This window comes from Homo sapiens, chromosome 12, assembly GCF_000001405.40.
Source record: "Homo sapiens chromosome 12, GRCh38.p14 Primary Assembly".
Taxonomy (NCBI): Eukaryota; Metazoa; Chordata; class Mammalia; order Primates; family Hominidae; genus Homo; species Homo sapiens.
Window position 1 is genome coordinate 103,061,805 of NC_000012.12, and position 21,099 is coordinate 103,082,903.

At 38.0% G+C, this 21,099-nt stretch overlaps 1 protein-coding gene across 3 annotated transcripts in view; it reads right to left on the reverse strand.

The window, feature by feature from the left end:
• Nucleotides 1-21,099, reverse strand: part of C12orf42 (chromosome 12 open reading frame 42) — a 516,167-nt gene that overhangs the window by 14,181 nt on the left and 480,887 nt on the right. For 2 of the 3 annotated variants that reach the window (NR_170336.1, NM_001386867.1), the window contains one exon: nt 17,836-19,733. The exons of the other annotated variant lie outside the window; for it this stretch is intronic. The gene's annotated coding sequence lies outside the window, so the exon portion shown is untranslated. Of the gene's footprint in view, nt 1-17,835; nt 19,734-21,099 lie in introns of those variants that run through there. 3 annotated transcript variants of the gene reach the window in all.

Genomic DNA, 21,099 nt, shown 5'->3' on the forward strand with positions numbered 1-21,099 from the left:
ATTTTTTTTAATGAGGCATTTAGTACACATATATTTCATATTTACTTATATTGTTGATTTTATATATATCATCATTTTGTTAGTTTTCTCCTGTTTTATACTCCTTTCTCTCATTCTTATTTTCTTTTGATTAGTCAAATATTTTTCATTATCCATTTCCCCCTTGGTTTATTGTTTTTACATTTATTTAGCATTGTTTCAGTTGATACTCTGTAAATTACAATGTTTACATGCATCATTGACTTGTTATAGCCTAAAATAAATGAATGGTTTCACCACTTCCAAGTCAATGCTTATTATGATCTTAGTATTCCATTAGCCAATCTCAGATTTCATGTTATCATGAATTTAAATTTTATTATTTGTTCTATTATTGTTTTATAAAGTCATTATTTATTTATATATATACATATATTTATTCTTTCCCTTTCTATTTCTTTCTTTCTGCATTTCTGTGTTTATCTGTGATATATTTTCCTTCTGCTTAAAGAAGGACTTGATTAGCATTTTTAAAATTTTGCTTTCTGGTGATAAATTCTCTTAGTTTTTGTTTGCTTAGTCATATGTGTATGTCATTTTTATTTTTAAATAATATTTTTACTTGATACTAAATTCTATATCAATAAATATTATCTTTTAGCATTTTGAAGATACCATTTTATTTTCTTCTGGTTTCTTTTGTTTCTGTTTAGAAGTCGTGTTAGTCTTAGTAATGTTATTTTAAATATTAGGTTGGTGCAAAACTAATCATGATTTTGGCCATTATTTCTAATTATTTTGCCGTTATTTCTAATGACAAAACCATGATTACTTTTGCACCAACCTAATATAACGTGTCTTTGTTCATTTGCTGCTTTTAAAATTTTTGTTTGAATTTTGCTTTCAGCAATTGTAGTGTTTTGAGGCTAGATGTATTTTTCTTTGTTGTTAATCCTACTTGGAGTTTGCAGCATTCTTTAAATCTGCGGCTTGAAGTCTATTAATTTTGGATTTTTTTTTTACATTTCTAATAATTTTTTTACAAATATCACTTCTATTCCATTCTATCTCTCCCTCTCTTCTATTATTTGAAGCACACATATGTTAAATATTTTCACCATGTCTCCTGCGTTTTTTTATGCCGTTGGCTGCTTAATATGATTAGACCGAAAAATGCTAAGGAGTCTACTTCTAAAAGAATGGAGAACACTGATAGTCCTTGGCATGAATTGTTTAGAAAGTTATGCAGAATAAATACATTTGGCACTCCTGAAACACCGCTCATGAGAGGCAAGAAGTTTGGTGATTCTATACATAATACCTTTGACTATGTGTGGAGAACCAAAGATTCTTTGTTTGGTTTCTCCTAAATTCACTTGACAAAGTGACGAAAGAAAATGATGAATTCAGAGATTCTAATTCCCGGCTTCAGAAGCAGATACAGAGCCTTAAATCTGCTAATATTGCCCTTAGTAAGAACCTTATCCCCTGTAGAGAAAGAGCTGAAATTGTGGAAAAACAGACATAAGCTCTTATCATGCAACTGACTGACCTGCAATGAAAGGTGCATGCACACCCTCACCAGGTGTTTAGTATTAAAGTGACAGCATTGATTGAAAAAGAATGGGACGTGCAACTTGGAATGGGGACATGTGGGAGGACCCTGATGAAGCTGGGGACACTGAGCTTGTAAACTCTGATGAAACTTTTTTGCTGGAAGAAACAGCTTCCCATCCCCAGTAGTGACAACATCCCCTCCCTGACCCATGCTGCCATCAGCCTTTCCATCTTTGTATGAGGAGATAAACCCTGTGCCACCTGAGGCAACAGTGATGGCCTTCCCTGAGGCAGTTGCCAGGCAAGATAATGTTGATTTTCCTCAGGAGCTACCCGAACACCCCTGTTTTCTTCTAGACCTACAACTAGACTAAAGTCCCAGCAGGCCCCTAGTGGTGAGGTTCAGAGTGTGACCCATGAGGAGATATGCTATGCTGATAAAGTACTGCTTGAGTTTTCTAATTTATATAAGCAGAAATCTGGAGAACAGGCATGGGAATGGATATTAAGAGTGTGGGATAATGGTGGAAGGAACATAGAGTTGGATCAGGCTGTGTTAATTTGGGTCCACTAAGTAGCGACTCTGCATTTAATGTTGTAGCTCAGGGAGTTAAAAAGGTTCTAATAGTTTATTTGCTTGGTTAGCTGAAATATGAATAAAAATGTGGCCCACTGTGAGCCAGCTGGAAATGCCTGATCTCACTTGGTTTACTGTAGAGAAAAGGATCCAAAGGCTTAGGGAGATTGGGATGGTGAAATGTATTAGTCACTTTGGACCTACTCATCCCAGCTGGGAGGGTCCAGAAGATATACCCTTTACCAATCCTTTGTGACATAGATTTGTGAGGGCAGCACCTGCATCTTTGCAGAGCCCTGTAATTGCTCTTCTCTGTATGTCAGTTCTAAAGGGTGAGAACCACAGTCACTCAACTACAAAATTTAAATACAACAGGAATAATTGGATCCCAAGGTGGCAGGGGCCAAATGGCAGCACTCAACCATCAAAGCCAAGGTGGTTGTAGCTACTGTAATGGACAGCAGAGGCAAAGCACCAATCAGAATAGCCTGACCTGTGTAGAGTTCTGGCATTGACTAATTAATCACAGTTTTCCTAGAAGTGAAATTGACAGGAAGCCTACTGTATTCCTACTTAATTTATATAAGCAGAAAACTTCCAGGTCAAATGGACAAAAGACTAATTTGAATTATAAAAACAGAAAATCATGGCCCCTCAATCAATTTACAGATTTGAGCCAGTTTACAGACCCAGAACCCCTTGAAGGAAGGGGAGGCCGGGTCCCCTTGGGGAAGGACCCCACTACACTGCCAACAATTTATGCTGTTAATCTTTCTCCCATCCTTCCCCAAGGAGACCTTTGGCCTTTTACCAGGGTAACTGTATTGGGGAAAGGGAAATGATCAGACATTTTGGGGACTACTGAACACTGGCTCTGAGCTGATCTTGATTCCAAGGGACACAAAACATCATTGTGATCCTCCAGTTAAACTAGGGGCTTATGGAGTCAGGTAATTAATGGAGTTTTAGCTCAGGTCCAACTTACAGTGGGTCCAGTGGGTCCCCAGACTCATCTTGTGGTCATTTCCTTAGTGCAAGAATGCATAATTGGCACAGACATTCTTAGCAGCTGGTGTAAGCCCCACATTGGCTCCCTGACTGGTAGGGTGAGGATTATTATGGTAGGAAAGGCCAAATGGAAGACATTAAAGCTGCCTTTACCTAGAAACATACTAAATCAAAAACAGTATTGGATCCCTGGAGGGATTGCAGAGACTAGTGACACCATCAAGGATTTGAAAGACACAGAGGTGGCGATTCCCACCACATTCCCATTCAACTCTCCTATTTGGCCTCTGCAGAAAATAGATGGATCTTGGAGAATGACAATGGATTATCATAAACTTAACCAAGTGGTGACTCCAGTTGCATCTGCTGTGCCAGATGTGGTTTCATTGCTTGAGCAAATTAACACATCTCCTGGTACCTGGTATGCAGCCATTGACTTGGGGAATATCTTTTTCTCCATTCCTGTCCATAAGGCCCACCAGAAGAAATTTGCCTTCAGCTGGCAAGACCAGCAATATACCTTTACTGTCCTACCTCAGGGGTATATCAACTCCCTGGCTTTGTGTCATAATCTTAGTCAGAGAGATCTTGATTGCTTTTCACTTCAACAAGATATCACACTGGTCCATTATACTGATGGTATTATGCTGGTTAGATCCAGTGAGCAAGAAGTATCAAACACACTGGACTTATTAATGAGACGTTTGTGTGCCAGAGGATGGGAAATAAATCTGACTAAAATTCAGGGACCTTCTACCTTCGTAAAATTTCTAGGGGCCCAGTGGTGTGGAGCCTGTCAAGATATTCCTTCTAAGGTGAAGGATAAGTCGCTGCATTTGGCCCCTCCTACAACCAAGAAAGAGGCACAATGCCTAGTGGGCCTATGTAGATTTTGGGAGCAACACATTCCTCATTTGGGTGTGTTACTTTGGCCCATTTATCAAGTGGCCTGAAAGGCTGCCAGTTTTGAGTGGGGTCCAGAACAGGAGAAGGCTCTGTTCAAGCTCTGTCCAAGCTGCTGTATAAGCTGCTCTGCCACTTGGGACATATGACCCAGCAGATCCAATGGTGCTTGAGGTGTCAGTCGCAGATAGGGATGCTGTTTGGAGTCTTTGGCAGGCCCCCCTAGGTGAATCACAGCGGAGGCCTCTAGGATTTTGGAGCAAGGCCCTGTCATCTTCTGCAGATAACTACTTTCCTTTTGAGAGACAGCTCTTGGCCAATTACTGGGATTTGGTGGAAACTGAACGTTTGCCTATGGGTCATCAAGTCATCATGTGACCTGAACTGCCTATCATAAACTGGGTGCTTTCTGACCCATCTAGCCATAAAGTGGGTTGTGCACAGCAGCATTTCATCATCAAATGGAAGTGGTATACACGTGACTGGGCTGGAGCAGGTCCTGAAGGCACAAGTAAGTTACATGTGGAAGTGGCTCAAATGCCCGTGGTCTCCACTCCTGCCACCCTGCCTTATCTCCCCCATCCTGCACCAATGGCCTTAGGGGAAGTTCCCTATGATCAGTTGACAGAGGAAGAAAAGACTAGGGCCTGGTTCCCAGATGGTTCTGCACGATATGCAGGCACCATTCAAAAGCAGACAGCTGCAGCACTATAGCCCCTTTCTAGGACATCCTTGAAGGACAGCGGTGAAGGGAAATCTTCCCAGTGGGCAGAACTTTGAGCAGTGCACTGTTTGTGCTCTTTGCAAGAAAGGAGAAATGGTCAGCTGTGTGATTATGTACTGATTCGTGGGCTGTAGCCAATGGTTTGGCCTGATGGTCAGAAACTTGAAAGAAGCATGATTGGAAAATTGGTGACAAGGAAATTTGGGGAAGAGTGGATGGACCTCTCTTGAGTCAAAAACTGTGAAAATATTTGTATCCCATGTGAGTTCTCACCAATGGGTGACCTCAGCAGAGGAGGATTTTAATAGTCAAGGGGATAAAATGACCCATTCTGTGGGACACCACCCAGCCTCTTTACCCAATCACCCCTATCATTGCCCAATGGGCCCATGAACAAAGTGGCCATGGTGGCAGGGATGGAGGTTTCACATGGGCTCAGCAACATGGACTTCCGCTCACTAAGGCTGACCTGGCTACGACCACTGCTGAGTGCCCAATTGCCAGCAGCAGAGACAAACACTGAGCCCTCAACATGGCACCATTCCTCGGAGTAATCAGCCAGCTACCTGATGGCAGGTTGATTATATTGGACCTCTTCCATTATGGAAAGGGCAGAGGTTTGTCCTCACTGGAATAGACACTTACTCCAGATATGGGTTTGCCTATCCTGCACCCAATGCTTCTGCGAAGACTACCACCCATGGACTCACAGAATGCCTTATCCACTGTCATGGTATTCCACATAGCATTGCCCCTGACCAAAACACTCACTTTACGGCTGAAGAAGTGTGGCAGTGGGTTCATGCTCATGGAATTCACTGGTCTTGCCATGCTCCCCATCATCCTGAAGCAGCTGGATTGATAGAATGGTGGAATGGTCTTTTGAAGTTACAATGCCAACTAGGTGACAATACTTTGCAGAGCTGGGACAGAGTTCTCCAGAAGGCTGTGTATGCTCTTAATCAGCGTCCAATATATGGTACTTTCTGTTTCTCCCATAGCCAGGATACACAGGCCCAGGAATGAAGGGGTAGAAGTGGAAGTGGCACCACTCACCATCATCCCTAGTGATCCACTAGCAAAATTTTTGCTTCCTATTCCCTCAGCATTAAGTTCCTGTTCCCTCAGCATTTAGCTGGCCTAGAGGTCTTCGTTCCAGAGGAAGGAACACTGCCACTAGGAGATACAACAATGATTCCATTAAACTAGAAGTTATGATTGCCACCTGGACACTTTGGGCTCTCCCTACCTTTAAGTCAACAGGAATTAGATTGTTGGTTGTGGTGATTGACCCAGACTATCAAGATGAAATTAGTCTACTACTCCACAACAGAGGCAAGGAAAAGAATGCATGGAATACAGGAGATTCATTAGGGCGTCTCTTAGTATTGCCCTGCCCTGTGATTAAGGTCAATGGGAAACTACAACAGCCCAATTCAGGCAGGACTACAAATGGCCCAGACCCTTCAGGAATGAAGGTTTGTGTCACTCCACCAGCAAAAAAAGCATGACCTGCTGAGGTGTTTCCTGAAGGCAAAGATAATACAGAGTGGGTAGTAGAAGAAGGTAGTCATCAATACCAGCTATGACCACATGATCAGCTGCAGAAGTGGGGACTGCAATTGTCATGAGTATTTCCTCCTTCTTTTGTTAAAAACATGTTTGTGCATATATACACTTGTACTAAGAAAATACCTTCATTTTATTTTTTTCTCCTTTATCATGTGACATCAGATTTATTGACTTCAGCATTTAAGTATTGTTACTTAAATATGTAATAGCATTTGGGTTTGGGATTGGTGCATCTGGTTGTACAAAGGATAGTTGTATTCTGTTAGAGGTAATTATGACCTTATTATTGTCTTTACTTGAAGATTATATATGATCTCAGGAGATGTGTATGGGTTCAGGTTGACAAGAGGTGGACTTGTGATGGTTAATACTGAGTGTCAACCTGATTGGATTGAAGGATGCAAAGTATTGATCCTGGGTGTGTCTGTGAGGGTGTTGCCAAAGGAGATTAACATTTGAGTCAGTGGGCTGGGAAAGGCAGACCCACCCTTAATCTGAGTGGGCACCATATAATCAGCTGCCAGCATGGCCAGAGCATCAGGCAGGCAGAAAAAATTGAAAAGGCTAGACTGGCTTAGCCTCCCAACCTACATCTTTCTCTCATGCTGAATGCTTCCTGCCCTCGAATATCAGACTCCAAATTCTTCAGCTCTGGGACTCAGGCTGGCTTCCTTGCTCCTCAGCTTGCAGATGGCCTATTATGGGACCTTGTGATCATGGGAGTTAATACTACATAATAAACTCCTCTCTCTATATATATATATAGATAGATAGATAGATAGATATAGATATATATATCTCTCTCTCCACATATATATATATATATATATATATATATATATATATATATATATATATATATATATAATCCTATTAGTTCTGTCCCTCAAGAGAACCCTGACTAATACATGCTGATTTATGTATTTTTAAAAAAGATACTTTTTGTTCTCTGACTCCGCTTAGATATTTTCTACTGACCTAATTTCTATTTTACTAATCCTCTTTTCTTCAGTTTTCAATCTGCTCTTAACCCATCAGTTGAATTTTTAACCTCAATTGCTGAATTTTTAAGTTTTAGAATTCCCATTTGATTTTTTTTTTGTAGATTCTGATTCTCTTTTGTAATTTCTTTATCTTGCAATATATTTCCTTGGATATTTTAATCACAGTTATTTTAATGTTTATACAGATTTTCCTCAACTTATGGTGTGGTTGCATCTCAATAAATGTATATAATACGTTAAAATTATCATGACCCAAATATGCATTTAATATACCTAACCTATCAAACATCATAGCTTAGCCTAGTCTACCTTAAACATGCTCAGAACACTTAGATTTGCCTACAATTAGGCAAAATCATCTAATACAAACTCTAGTTATAAGAAAGTGTTAAATATTTTATGGCATTTATTAAATCTTGTTCTGAAAGCAAAAGAGCAAAATGGTTTTATGGATAATTGAAGTATGGTTTCTACTGCATGCGTATTGCTTTTACACCACTGTAAAGTCTAAAGTCAAAAAATTGTAAGTCAAGCCTTCGTAAGTCAGGGGCTGTCTGTATTTGATATCTCCTATAACTAGACCAACTAGCTAGGTCTCTTTCTCTATATTTTTTCTCTTAATTATATTTCTTGGCATACCAGGCAAATTAGCATTGATTACTCAGTAATATGCATGAATAATTATAGAATTGCGGTTGAAGTATTCCTTCTCCAGAGAGGTCTCACCATGTCCTTTGAAAATAGTCTAAATAAGGGCAGGTTTCCTGATACACTTAGGGACTTATCAGACTCAAGGCAGAGTGCAGAAATAATTTAATGAGGCTCAGTCTTACTGATTCACCTCCCTGATCCTAGCAGGTAGCTCTTTGGGAGCTTCAGCTAACACCTGGGGTGCTTACTGATGCATCTTCTCTTTTTGGTGGATTCTGAACTCCAATTTTATTTCCTTGCCACTGTAAGACAAAAATTCTATACTGCTTCTCATGGGTGTTCTTAGCTTCTTGGTCTCTTGTCCTGGGAAGCTTTAAAATATGACACGTCTGAAGTGAAAAACTCCAGAATGTCCAGCTCATTTCTCTGCACCTCACTGCTCTCCAGTATTTTGCACCCTTAAGTTGTGATTTCCTTGGCAGCTCCACAGGCTAATTTTTGTGTTTGTATCCCTATGAGTTTGGTAAAAGCTCTATTTGGGTTCTCTTTTTAGTGGTGGTTTTCAGCTCAGTTTCTCAGTGCCTCACCCACCCTGCAATATGCCAAGACTTGTCTCCTTCAGGTAGAAAGGAGAGCCTTTCATCTTTGCAATTCCATTTTCTCCACAATGTTGACTTTCAAATTCCAGTTGTTTCAGCATACACATATACATATATATACACACCTACATACACATACACACACACACACACACACACACACACCCGACACAGCCTCTTAATCCACTGATTTAGTAGGAGTGTCCAAAAATATACTATCAAGGTTTGCATACATATATGCAAATGTACTCATACGACCACAAATTGTTCTATGTGCCAAGAGGATAAAGAAAACAGGGTACTAAGAAAACAGAAATGCAGGTAGGGAAGAGAAGATGTCTTATTCTGATTGAGTGGTCAAGGAAGGTAGTGACTTTATGACTTGTTTCTGTATCTCCATCTAGTCTTGCTATGATTTTCTTTGTAAATATGGGTAACTTCTCAAGGATTTCATGAAAGTGAGTGTCAACATGTGATTGTCACGACACTGAAAATATATCTTCAAGAAAGAGAATTGTTAATGAAACAGGAATCATGAATAAGATTTCCTAAATATATCATAATTTTATTTTTCAAGTGGTGAATCGTTAAGTCTGTGTCTGACTGTATTTGCTTTAATGCTTGTACCATGTCAGAGTGAAGTAAAATGCCAGTGATGCTGTATTTCCTGATTTTTTTCCCAACTCATTAGGAAACAATCATGAAAGAAATAGCTCCATGGTTACCCAAGGTAAGAACTGGTAATTCACACTCAAATTGCTTGGATTTGAAATTGCAGTTTCTACCCATGTCATGGGGCTGCGTTTTAAAAAACTATCTCCAAATTTGAAACTACACCATAAACCCTTCATCCCTTTTCTCAGTTATGGTCCCTCTCTACAGAACTACACAAAAAGTTTATTTTTAATGTTTCTTAAATGAGTAAAGGCTGAAAAACCCCTTAAAGATGAGAAAATAAATACACGCAGAGACTCTTTTTCTATTACTGCTCCTCCTAGCAACACCCACCTTCCAAAGTGGTAAAATTGACAACTCTGCTACTTCTGATTTAGGGGTTGAAATCACACCCTCAATCAGAGAGCATCCCTAACATTGATGTTGATATGATTCGGCTGTGTTCCCATCCAAATCTCACCTTGAATTGTAATAATCCCCATGTGTCAAGGGTGGGGCCAGGTAGAGATAATTGAATCATGGGGGCGGTTTTTCCCATACTGTTCTCATGGTAGTGAATAAGTCTCAGGAGATCTGATGGTTTTATAAATGGGAGTTCCCCTGAATAAGCTCTCCTGCTTGCTGCCATGTAAGATGTGACTTTGCTCCTTATTCACCTTCCGCCATTACTGTGAGACTTCCCCAGTCAAGTGGAACTGTGAGTCAATTAAACCACTTTCCTTTATAAATTACTCAGTCTTGACTATGTCTTTGTTAGCAGCATGAGGACAGACTAATACAGACATCAACCTGTGGTTTCCACCCAGACCAAAAATAGGATAATTAGTGTTTTCTTTTGGTAAAGGCAGAAGAAACCTGATGAAAAAATGTGTCATGATCCATCCCAGCTACGTATCTCCCTTGTTTCTTGGGTCCAAACAGTGTACATAGCATGTAGGTGCTTACAGCATCATCTCTATCTGTTCCTGCTAACATCTAGAGCTCCCAAAAATGAGAGATAAAGCAAGTCAGTGATACCATTTCTTGTCTAAATTCCTTTTATTTCCCAGTCTGATTCACGAAGCAAGTGCCATCACTTTTGTGCTACTTAAGCATCAGCTGACCTGGCAAGGATGACTTTTCAAGGCTTTGAACATTTGCTTCTTAATGCACACATGGTAAGAGTTCATCATTCATTCTTAACTATTTTTTAAAAAATAGTAACAGAGTCAGATGCTTCTCTTCTCTTTTGTGAGAATTAAATAATAATAATGTTCAAAATGTCTATATTGGTTTATTTAAAACAAGTCCCTTTAAACAGACAGAAGAACAGATCCTATACCATCTATTCTCATTAATCTCGGAAACTTCTTTAACAAATAAAAACTCTCTTGTATTTTTTGTTCTCAGCTAAAAAAAAAAAAGAAAATACATGGCCACAAATATAAGAATTCCCATGTGTATCATCTCCTGAAATAGGCAATTTTAGTCATCAACTCATCAATTCTACAATAGCAGTACACTTGGAGCAGATGAGAGTCCCTCCCATATCTAAGCTATTAGAAAGTGCCCCCACCCCCGGTACATACCCAGTAATGGTATTGCTGGGTTGAATGGTATTTCTGTCTTTAGATCTTTGAGGAATCACCATGCTGTTTTCCACCATGGTTGAACAAAGTTACGCTTCCACCAACAGTGTATAAGCGTATCTTTTTCTCCACAACCTCACCAGCATCTGTTGTTTTTTGACTTTTTAATAATAGTCTTTCTGACTGGTGTGAGAGAGTATCTCATTATGATTTTTAAAGGAATATAAATTGTTCTGTTATAAAAACACATGCACACTTATGTTCATTGTAGCAGTATTCACAATAGCAAAGACATGGAATCAGCTTAAATACCCATCAATGATAGACTGGATAATAAACACGTGGTACATATACATCATGAAATACTATCTAGCCACAAAAAAAGAATGAGATTATGTCCTTTGCCAGGACATGGATGGAGCTGGAGGCCATTATCCTTAGCAAGCTAATACAGGAACAGAAAACCAAACACTGTATGTTCTCACATAACAGGGACCTAAATGATGAGAACACACGGACATATAGAGGGGAACAACACACAGTGGGACCTATTGGAGGATGGAGGGTGGGAGGAGGGAGAGGATCAGGAAAAATAATTAATGGGTACTGGGCTTAATGCCTGGGTGATGAAATAATCTGTACAACAAACCCCCATGACACAAGTTTACCTATGTAACAAACCTGCATGTGTACCCTCAAATTTAAAATAGAAGTTTACAAATAATAGAAGAAAAGAAAAAGAAAATGCTCCCTCAGTGGCCAGCAGTCAACAAATGGCAGCTATTTTTCTTCTTTCTGTCTCCACTCCCAGACCATACATTCTGTGAAATAATTTGGTTGATTTGCTTAAAATTAAGTGTGAGAGCTTAGCTATTATCATTTTGTTTCTAAGAATATGAAAGGGAAACATAAAAATTCAAAAGGCAAATGTGTTTTTTTCAAAAGAGAGGAGAGCTGAGAGAATTTGCAGAGATATTATTCTTGGTCACGGTATATGACCCCTTCAAACTTGCAGATGGCTGCTAGGGGTGATAGGAGGGGTTTTGCTTGCATGAGCTTCCAAATGCCTGCAAAAAGAAAGCACAGGTTGCTCCATAAAAAAATAAGCAAGAAAACACATATTCATGGAAAATAAGTACTGACCAACCTGACTACATGGAAAGGAATTTATGTTAATTGAGTCTCAAATGTGGGATAAGGACATCAGAGTGTATCACTAGCTTCTTAATGCAGGTTTTTTTGGAAGGTCCTTACTCATGCCTATTTTAAGAGACGTCATACGTGGGGATTGCAGAGGTTAACATATTTGCCTGAGGTTACACAGCTAATTCTCCTCATGGCCGAATTTGAACCCAATGAGAGCCAATACCATAGTTTATAACCTCTCCCTACAGCACACAACCTTCCAATCAGAAGCTTCCCAAAGCCTCAAAAGCAAGTAGAATGGAGATAAATGGGCTTCTCTACAGACAAATAAAAGGTAAGAAACATGTTTACGGGGAGTTAACCTAAGTAAAACTGAATAATGAGGAGTTGTGAACTAAAAGTTATAGACCCAAAGAAATGATCCAGAGGGCTGAGGATGAAAAATCTTATGTCAGGAAGAAACTTTGTTCTTGAAGACAGCAGTTTCAAGTGTCACAACATTCATTTAATTTACAAACGCTTATTTTTCGGGCACCATAAAAAATACTTAGGTTAATAGAGAGCTTAATTGAACATAGGTCTTTCTCTGGAAAAGCGTACCATGGAGTAGAGTAGATAGCTCCTGTCTGCAAATAGCTTGGCAAATGAAGTGGAGCCTGGGGAATACCTCATCAAGGAAGCAGGTAAGCCTCCAAATATTATCAAACAGAAAGAGTACTGAATGCAAGATGGAAAACCTTACCCCTGTCATTGTGCAAAGATAGGGCACCCCTCCTGATTATATGCTAGATAAAAAATGGACAAAAAGACTCCTATTAAGGGAAACCAAAATGCCTAAGCATGAAATAGTTTCTGAATTGTCTATAAATAATATGATTAGGATTCTGCCCTGGAATGAAAGTAGATAATATATAGTGATACCTATAAAGTTAGAATGCATATGACCTCTCAAAAATCTAAAACTAAAGTAAGGGGCTGGTTGCTTTATGGCAAGTAGTACTTTCTACAACATTAGTTGAGATAGATTGAACATTCACTCGGGACATAATGGCTCACGCCTCTAATCTCAGCACTTTGGGAGGCTGAGGTGGGTGGATTGCTTGAGCCCAGGAGTTTGAGACCAGCCTGGGCAACATAGGGAGACTTTGTCTCTACAAAAATAATAAAAAAAATTATCTGGACTTGATAGTGCATGCCTGTGGTCCCAGCTACTTGGGAGGCTGATGTGGGAGGTCACTTGAGCCTGGGAGGTTAAGGCTGCAGTGAGCTGTGATCATGCCATTGCACTCCAGCCTGGATGATAGAGTAAGACTGTCTCAAAACTAAAAAAACATAAACAAACACACACAGAAAAGAAAAGGATCTGAAGCATTATTTTTTTCAATAGCAAAAGTTCTTTTTTACTTTTCCCCAGGTTTAATGCTCCAGAAATGTACTGTTTTTAGTTTTCATATCTACTTTTTATGACAGTTCTCTCTTCCTTGCTGTTAGATATTACTTTTGGCCTCCATCAATATTTATTCCCTTTTTTTCCTCTTTTAATGAAATCATCTTAATTTGTTGTAAGCTTGGAAACCAGATAATTAAGTTTGTTAGAATTCGATGTAGATCAAGAGTTGGTTCCAAAAGCATTGTAAGTACTTACAAATAGTAGACACTTGCCAACATTGCCTGAGTGATTACATTTTCCAAGAGTATTTTTACTGTCAGGATCATAGCAGTGATGCCACTGATCCAATAATCACTAAGAGCCTAAGCACAATATAACCATAGATCATATTTCAATTTAATCAAAATCTGTCTTATTTCATGGCCTGTGCTAATTTATACCTCTTAATTCATTTCATGAGTCCCCTACTATTCCATTGGAATTGTATTTCTAAGTCTTTAAACCAGCTATTTCTATTATGTTCCTTTAGCCTCAGCCAATATTTTTGACCACCCAACCAGTCCAGTAAGAATGAAGTCTGGATAGCACCTTCTCATTTATGAACAATGGAAGGTCTGACCAGGGTAGTGTTTATGGGAGAGGAATAAAATGAAAGGACACTTCAGAACCATAATTATTAAGACTCTATACATGACCATGGGTGATGGGGTAATGAGAAAGAGTAAGATGTTGACTGGGACACTTTTTTTAGGTTGGGTGAGGGAGCTTAGAAAACTCAGGAGGAGCTAGTTTAGTGAACAGAAGGAAAGTAATTGAGTTTGGTTTTGGATATGTGGAGTTTGAAATGCTTTGAGACATCTATGTGATTTCCAAAGGTCAATTTGTCTTTAAGAAATCAATATCACACACCGGGTCCTGTTGGGGGATGGGGCTAGGGCGAGGGATAGTATTAGAAGAAATACCTAATGCTATATAGAAGATGGGTTGATGGGTGCAGCAAACCACCATGGCATGTGTATACCTATGTAACAAACCTGTATGTTCTGCACATGTATCCCATAACTTAAAGTATAATGATAATAATAATAATAAAGAAATCAACATGCTTAAAATATGCATGATTACCCAAGCCTTTTTTTTTTTTTTAAATAAGTAAGGCCTTGTGTCAGAACGTTCTAGGACATTTGTTGGGTATTATAGGGGGTTAATGCTCTGTATGATGAGGGCAAGAGGCAGAGAAATATGGCCTACCACCATCATGTTGGCCAGTCAAACCCATTGTGCACCTATAGGTTTACTCATGAGGCCTGTTAATGTCATTCTAGGACCAGAGAAGCCTTCCTCAGATTCATACTAGAACTGGTTCCAGGGCCAATTTTACAAAGTCGCAAGGGGGACTTTTTCAGTGACTCCAGTGAATAAGTGGAATCTCTTCTGATCTTGAAGGATGATGTTGATGAAAGCCCAGTGAAAATCATATTGTAAAATATCTAACTGAAACTATTCTTTTCTAGTCACTGTCAGTGCCATTATAGTGATACCTAACACTTATTTATATAATTAAAGAAATGTATATATAGCATTCACCAAGTACTAGATTGTTTGCTAAGTGCTTTATAAATACCTACTCACTTAATTCTTATACCAACCCTATAATTAGGTATAATTATTATGTATCTCTTCTAGATAAGGAAACTGAGATACAAAAAGGTTAATTAAATTTTCCAAAGTCACACAGGTAGTAAGTTGTGAAATTGGGATTCAAAACCATGCAGTTTGAAACAATGAACTCTGAGGAAGCCTATGCTATATTGATGTTCATATCAGCCAGTCAATTAATTAAAATTGAGTTTCTAGATTGAAAAAATAAAATTGTACCTGTATATAAACTGTGTGCAATAAAATCTTGAGACTTTGTTCTAGACCCATTTTCTCTATGTTCAATTTAATACCAAATTATTAAGGTTAATATGAAGAAATGGATTTGTCTGTTTGCCCATGTCCTCTTTCCTTCTAAAGATAATTGAAGATATAATTAACATGTTTTACAAATCTGGAAGCATTGAATTTAAATTGCTAGTTGGATTACCTCATGTAGAAAACATCCATTAAGCAATATAAAATGCCAGCCAACAGAAAAGTGCAAATATTTAAAAATTGGAGATTATAAAATCAGGATAGACCTACACTTTGGAGGGAGCCTAATAATAGTAGTAAGCAAAAACACATTGAACTTAATGTATGCCAGGCATTCTTCTAAAGACTTTATGCATAGAGACTAAGCTTATAGATGGGGAAACCAAAGCACAGAGAAGTTAAATAACTTGCCCAAAATCACCTAACAAGTAAATAGTGAAACTGAGCTTGAACCAGGCAGCTGACCCCCAGACCCTGTGCTGGAGCAATCCAAGCTGGACACAGAGCAGGCAGTGATAAAGGTGAAGAGAATTTGGCATTCTCAGCTTGAGCCTCTTGGAGACAAGGCCTACAGGAAGCTAATAGAATTCCTGGAGAGATCTGGTGCCAGGCAGTCACTTTAAGATATGAAAGAAAAACTGTTCACACTCAGGACTCAATAACATTTGATGAAGGTGAGGACGTTGCTCTGTGGTGTGTCACTGGCGTTATGGAAGGGTTCCATCTGGGTCATTAGCACCATAATCCCCAAAGTCAGTGTTAGGAATCTAAATTCTGAATTTAGAGTCCACAATAGTTGCCCTCATTGGTGACATTCATTCTTCAGCAGTCACAACTTAAATCAGTCTCATGTTCATCTTGTAGGGCAGCAAATTAAAATTTAATTCGACAAAGCTAAAAGGACAAGAAAGAGTTTAGGACAATCATTTGCTCAATATTAAAGCAGCACTGGATTAAGGCCAAAAAAAATCTGCTTTAGCTCTGTCACTCCCTAGATGATTGACTTTACCCAATTATCTGACATTATATGGATCTTCATTTAATCATTTGTAAAATAAAGGGAGAAGAAACTAACAGGTATTAATTGCCTTTTATGTACAAGGTTTTGTTTTAGGAACTTTGCATATGTTGACTAACTTAATCCTCACCATCTTAATAATTGATAGGTTACTGCCCATTTTCAAGATTGAGAAAATAGAGGCTTAAATAATTTAAGAATTTACCTAAAGTCACCCAGCAAGTGGGATTCAAAGCATCAAAGTTTATGGTTTTTTTCTTTGCTGTTGTTTGTCTGTGTTTTGCATTTTATCTTCCTTTTATCATTGCAAACATATAATTCCAGAATTTTAGAAGTACACAAGGGGGATATGATGTCATTGCTACTATATTCTATAAACCCTAGAGCTACCACCTAAAGGACCACCACATCAACTTATCTTTATCTCTTGAGAGTTCTCCTTGGATTCTGATTTAATTGTCAAACATAATAGTCAACTGTATGATGGCTGAATGGACTATGCTTCATATAGTGGATCTATGGTAATCCATTAAGGTGAAACCTTGAATGAATTTCCCTTAGGAGGTTAACTTATATCTAGAGAGTGACATGTATTACAGAAGAAAATTTGATTATTGGTATTGTTTGCACGGTCTATTTTAATCTTGAAATATTTGAAAAGACTTGGTCAAAAGACAAGAAAGGACTAGTTTTTGGCAGTGGGTGTTTTCCATTCTTATGAATGTAATTTTGTCTCTGCAGAAAATTCAGACATTGCTTTGTCCAAAGGGACACCGACATCCTATACTATGCTTTATTTGACGTCTTATACTGCACACTAAACCACACCGGTGCACTTCAAATTATTCAGCTATAGGAATGTATATCTGGTTTGAACACTGAGGCCAGCTCCAGTGTGCTTTCTCATGTTGCTCCCAGATGGGTTGAAGATATCTGTGAAGACACCACATTGCTATGTATTATTTACTCTTTATAAAATGTCCATCAGATACCCAAGCTCTTAAACATCTTCCATGACAGCCAGAGATGACCAAAAACTTTTGATATCAAAAAGTTTAAAAATTACATCATGTAATTTTATAGATTAAGGAGCCAATGGGGTTTGAGTATTCCAATCCAGGTAATACCAAATGGACAAAACAGTATGGTAAAATCCCAAGGCACTCATACTTGGTCTTGACTCTGAACAGAGTCAAGCTTTGGTGAAATAAGCTATCAGGGCTGAGTTCAATAGTATAGGAGTGGGAAACAGAGATAAGGTATAGTAACTAGACAGAAATAGGTTCTGAAAGTGTATAGGTCAAAAGCAAACAAGGAACAACTGATGATAGTTTTCTAGAATAATGTAAGAGAAGCTAAACCTACAGTTAATAGATGATAATTAGAAGGTTTGTGTATGGCTGGACAAGTTTCAAGACATGTGATACACAGACAAAATGTGCTGTGGTATGCATTTGTCATGTTTTTCACTGTCCAGTGGCTGAGTCATCTTTGTCAGTTAGGATAGGTATGTTAAACTGCAGTAACAAACAACATGCACATTTCTGTGGCTTTAAACAATCACATTTATTTCTTGCTCATAATACATGTCCATCACAAGTTGGCAAGGAAGCTTTGCTTATCATAGTCATTTAGGGACTCAGGCTGACAGAAGCATCCTTTCAACATGCCTTCAGATTTGCCTGGCAGGGAATAGTAGATTGGGAGAACCATATCCTGGTTCTTAGTATTTCTGTCCTGAAGTGAAGAATGACTGTTACTTATATTTAATTGGCCAAAGTTAGTCATATTGCTAACTTGAATCAATGATGGTAAATAAATGTACTTCTATGAAGAAGCAATTAATATAAGAATATAGTCTATTCCATCTAGTCTGTAATTGGAAAATTACCTATCTTATGGCTCTGGGACGGCGGTAGAGTTGGCCTCCTACCACAGACATTATATATACACCAAGTAGTTTGTCTTCCCAGCCTCCCTGATCAATTTATGCACTTGGCTATGACTTGAAGTGGGACTAGTGACATAAAACAACACGAGAGGAGGCTTCTTTCTGATATGGCTGTGGTGGCAGCAGCATCTGATTTCCAGGAAGAGTTGGGGCGGCCAGGTCAGTAAATGTATAAATTACGGTATGGCGAGTCCAATGGCGATAGATGTGAAATCCTCACCTGATGGTATTTGGTGTGATTCAGGACATAGTTATGGCTATGCAGCCTCCCTTCATGCTTGTATGTTTTCATAACTGGTTCTCCAGCATTGCAATTCATTCTGTGATCTCCCCAACATCTTTTCAACTAAACCATTGTATTTAAATCAGCTTCATCAACTTCTGTTGCTTACATCTAAGGATCATCATTAATACAAACTGGTTGAAAATAGCATGCACTTTTCTTGTCCTAATTGTCATAATATTTGCAGACACCTAAAAAAAAGCTACTTTATCCAGCACCTGACTAAATGGAAGAATATAATTCTTGTCACTTAAAATTTAGTTTTCTATTTTTTTAATTATATGTGAACACAAACTTTAAAAAATCAAATTTCTCCAAGTTATGAAAAGCAATAATATTCCCAGTGCATCATTCTCCTCCTGTCACAACCAATTTCTGTTTTAGCTTATTCTTTTAATATTTATCTCCATGTTTCTAATGACATTATTTTAATGGTCAACACTTTTATACTGCTGGCTTTGTGACAAGTACTATTCTAAGTATTTTAGAAAGTTAGTTCATATAAAAATCTTATGAGATGAGTAATTATAATCACAGTTTTCATACGAGAAAACTGAGTTTCAAATAGGTCAACAATTTGCCCAAAGTCACATGACTAGTAATTGGTAGGGCTGGGATTTGAACCCAGAGAGTCTCACTCCAGCATCTGCGCACATAACTACAATGCTATGTTTTGCCTCTACATGTACTTATGTATTTGCATTCTGATTACTACGTCTTAAGCATTTGCCCATTGACTTCCCACTTGGTAAATGCCTTACTAAGTCTTAAGCATTTGACCATGGACTTCCCACTTGGTAAATCCCCTTCTTCCTTGCCACACATAAGCACACTTCTCATTCACCATCTTCCTTAGGCTATAGAAATATTTAGCGAACATTATATCTATGCAAATGATACTGATAGATGAACTGCTAAATTCTCTCCAAGTAGTATAAAACTCTTCTTTACAAGTGCAAACATATTAGGTATTCTATAGATTTAATCTTCTCGAAAATCGCTCTTGGAGTCTCCTGAGTTACTCTTATCTGAACAAATTATTCCCTAGAGCTGTTGCAAAGTTGTTACTTTGGGTCTTTCTTCATAGAGAGGCTGTCAATGTTTTTCTTTATCTCTCTCTTGTGTTGCACCTTTTATTTCTAGGATCCCATATCTTTTATTTTCTTGGTTTATTATTTTTTGTTAAGACAGATGCATCTTCTTGTAGTTTCCTGAAAAAGAATGCATGAAAGGTAATTTATTAAAATGTTTCATTTCTGAAAGTGTTTTATTCTACACAAGTACTTAGAAGATAGTTTGTCTGGGTATAGAATTTTAGATTGGAAATAATTTTTTCTCTCTATTCCGAAGGCATTATTCCATCCTCTTAGCTTTCAATGTTGCTTTTGAGTGGTTTAGTTCCATTCTGTTTGTTGATCCTGTGTAGTAAGTGAATCAGACATTTGTAAAATTATTAAATAATTTTCTTTATTACTAAATTAATTTGATAAAGATTATTTTGTTTACAGTGAATATTGCTGCATAGTTATAACATTTTTATCTTTGGCTTATAATTTTATAACGTGGATATGTTTTGCATTGTGGTTCAAATATGAATCTTTCTCACTCTTATTACTAAACACAAATGTATTGTCTCTCCTCTCTCCCAAAATTCAGTTTGTTTCTACAAAAAGCTCTTTTAATGTTGTCACTAATTTTCTTCTTCCAGTGGAAAGTGAGAACAGGTTGCCAGGAAGATGGGGAATTAGTGTGTAAAGACACTTAAAACAGGGAACAGTTCATAACAAAGCTTAAGGAGAGATAGAGTCCATTTGGGTTAATCATTTTATTTTCTGGTGAGAAAAACCAACTGGAAGTGTTTAAAGGATTTGTTCAATGGCACATGCTAATGTGTCAAGTGACCATATAATTTATCATCTCAATCAGGGCAATTCTGAGAGTAAAAGAGGATGAAATTGTTAATTATACCAGAGTAGCAAGTATAAACCAGACAAACCAGGACAGTTCTGGGAAAACTGGAATGTATGATTACGCTACAATAATTATGGCCTAACCAAATCCTAAAAGTCTTGTCTCCAGTGTTTTTCCCCCATTTCCTTACTTTGTGCTAACTTCATTGACAACCAATCTCTGTTTAGTAGTTTCTTCTATCATTTTAATTGATTCATATGCTCCTTGATTTATTCAATAAATATCTGTTGAACATCTACTTTGACCTCTGATTCTTAAAGCCATACCTGTCATTTAAAAAAGACTAGTTCTAATGTAAATGACAAGTTAATGGGTGCAGCACACCAACATGGCACATGTATACATACGTAACAAACCTGCACGTTGTGCCCATGTACCCTAGAACTTAAAGTATAATAATAAAAAAAGACTAGTTATTACCTTCCATTTAAAATACCTTATATGTACAAAGCCAGCAACAATATTAGAAAATGATCAAAGAAGCTGTTACTGCGCTATTTTATTCAAGAAGTAAATAGGTAGGTGAATTTTGGCAGTATTTGGTAACATAGTACAAACAAGCTAGTTTATCAGCTCTTACTCTGAATTAGACACACAGCTAGCTAG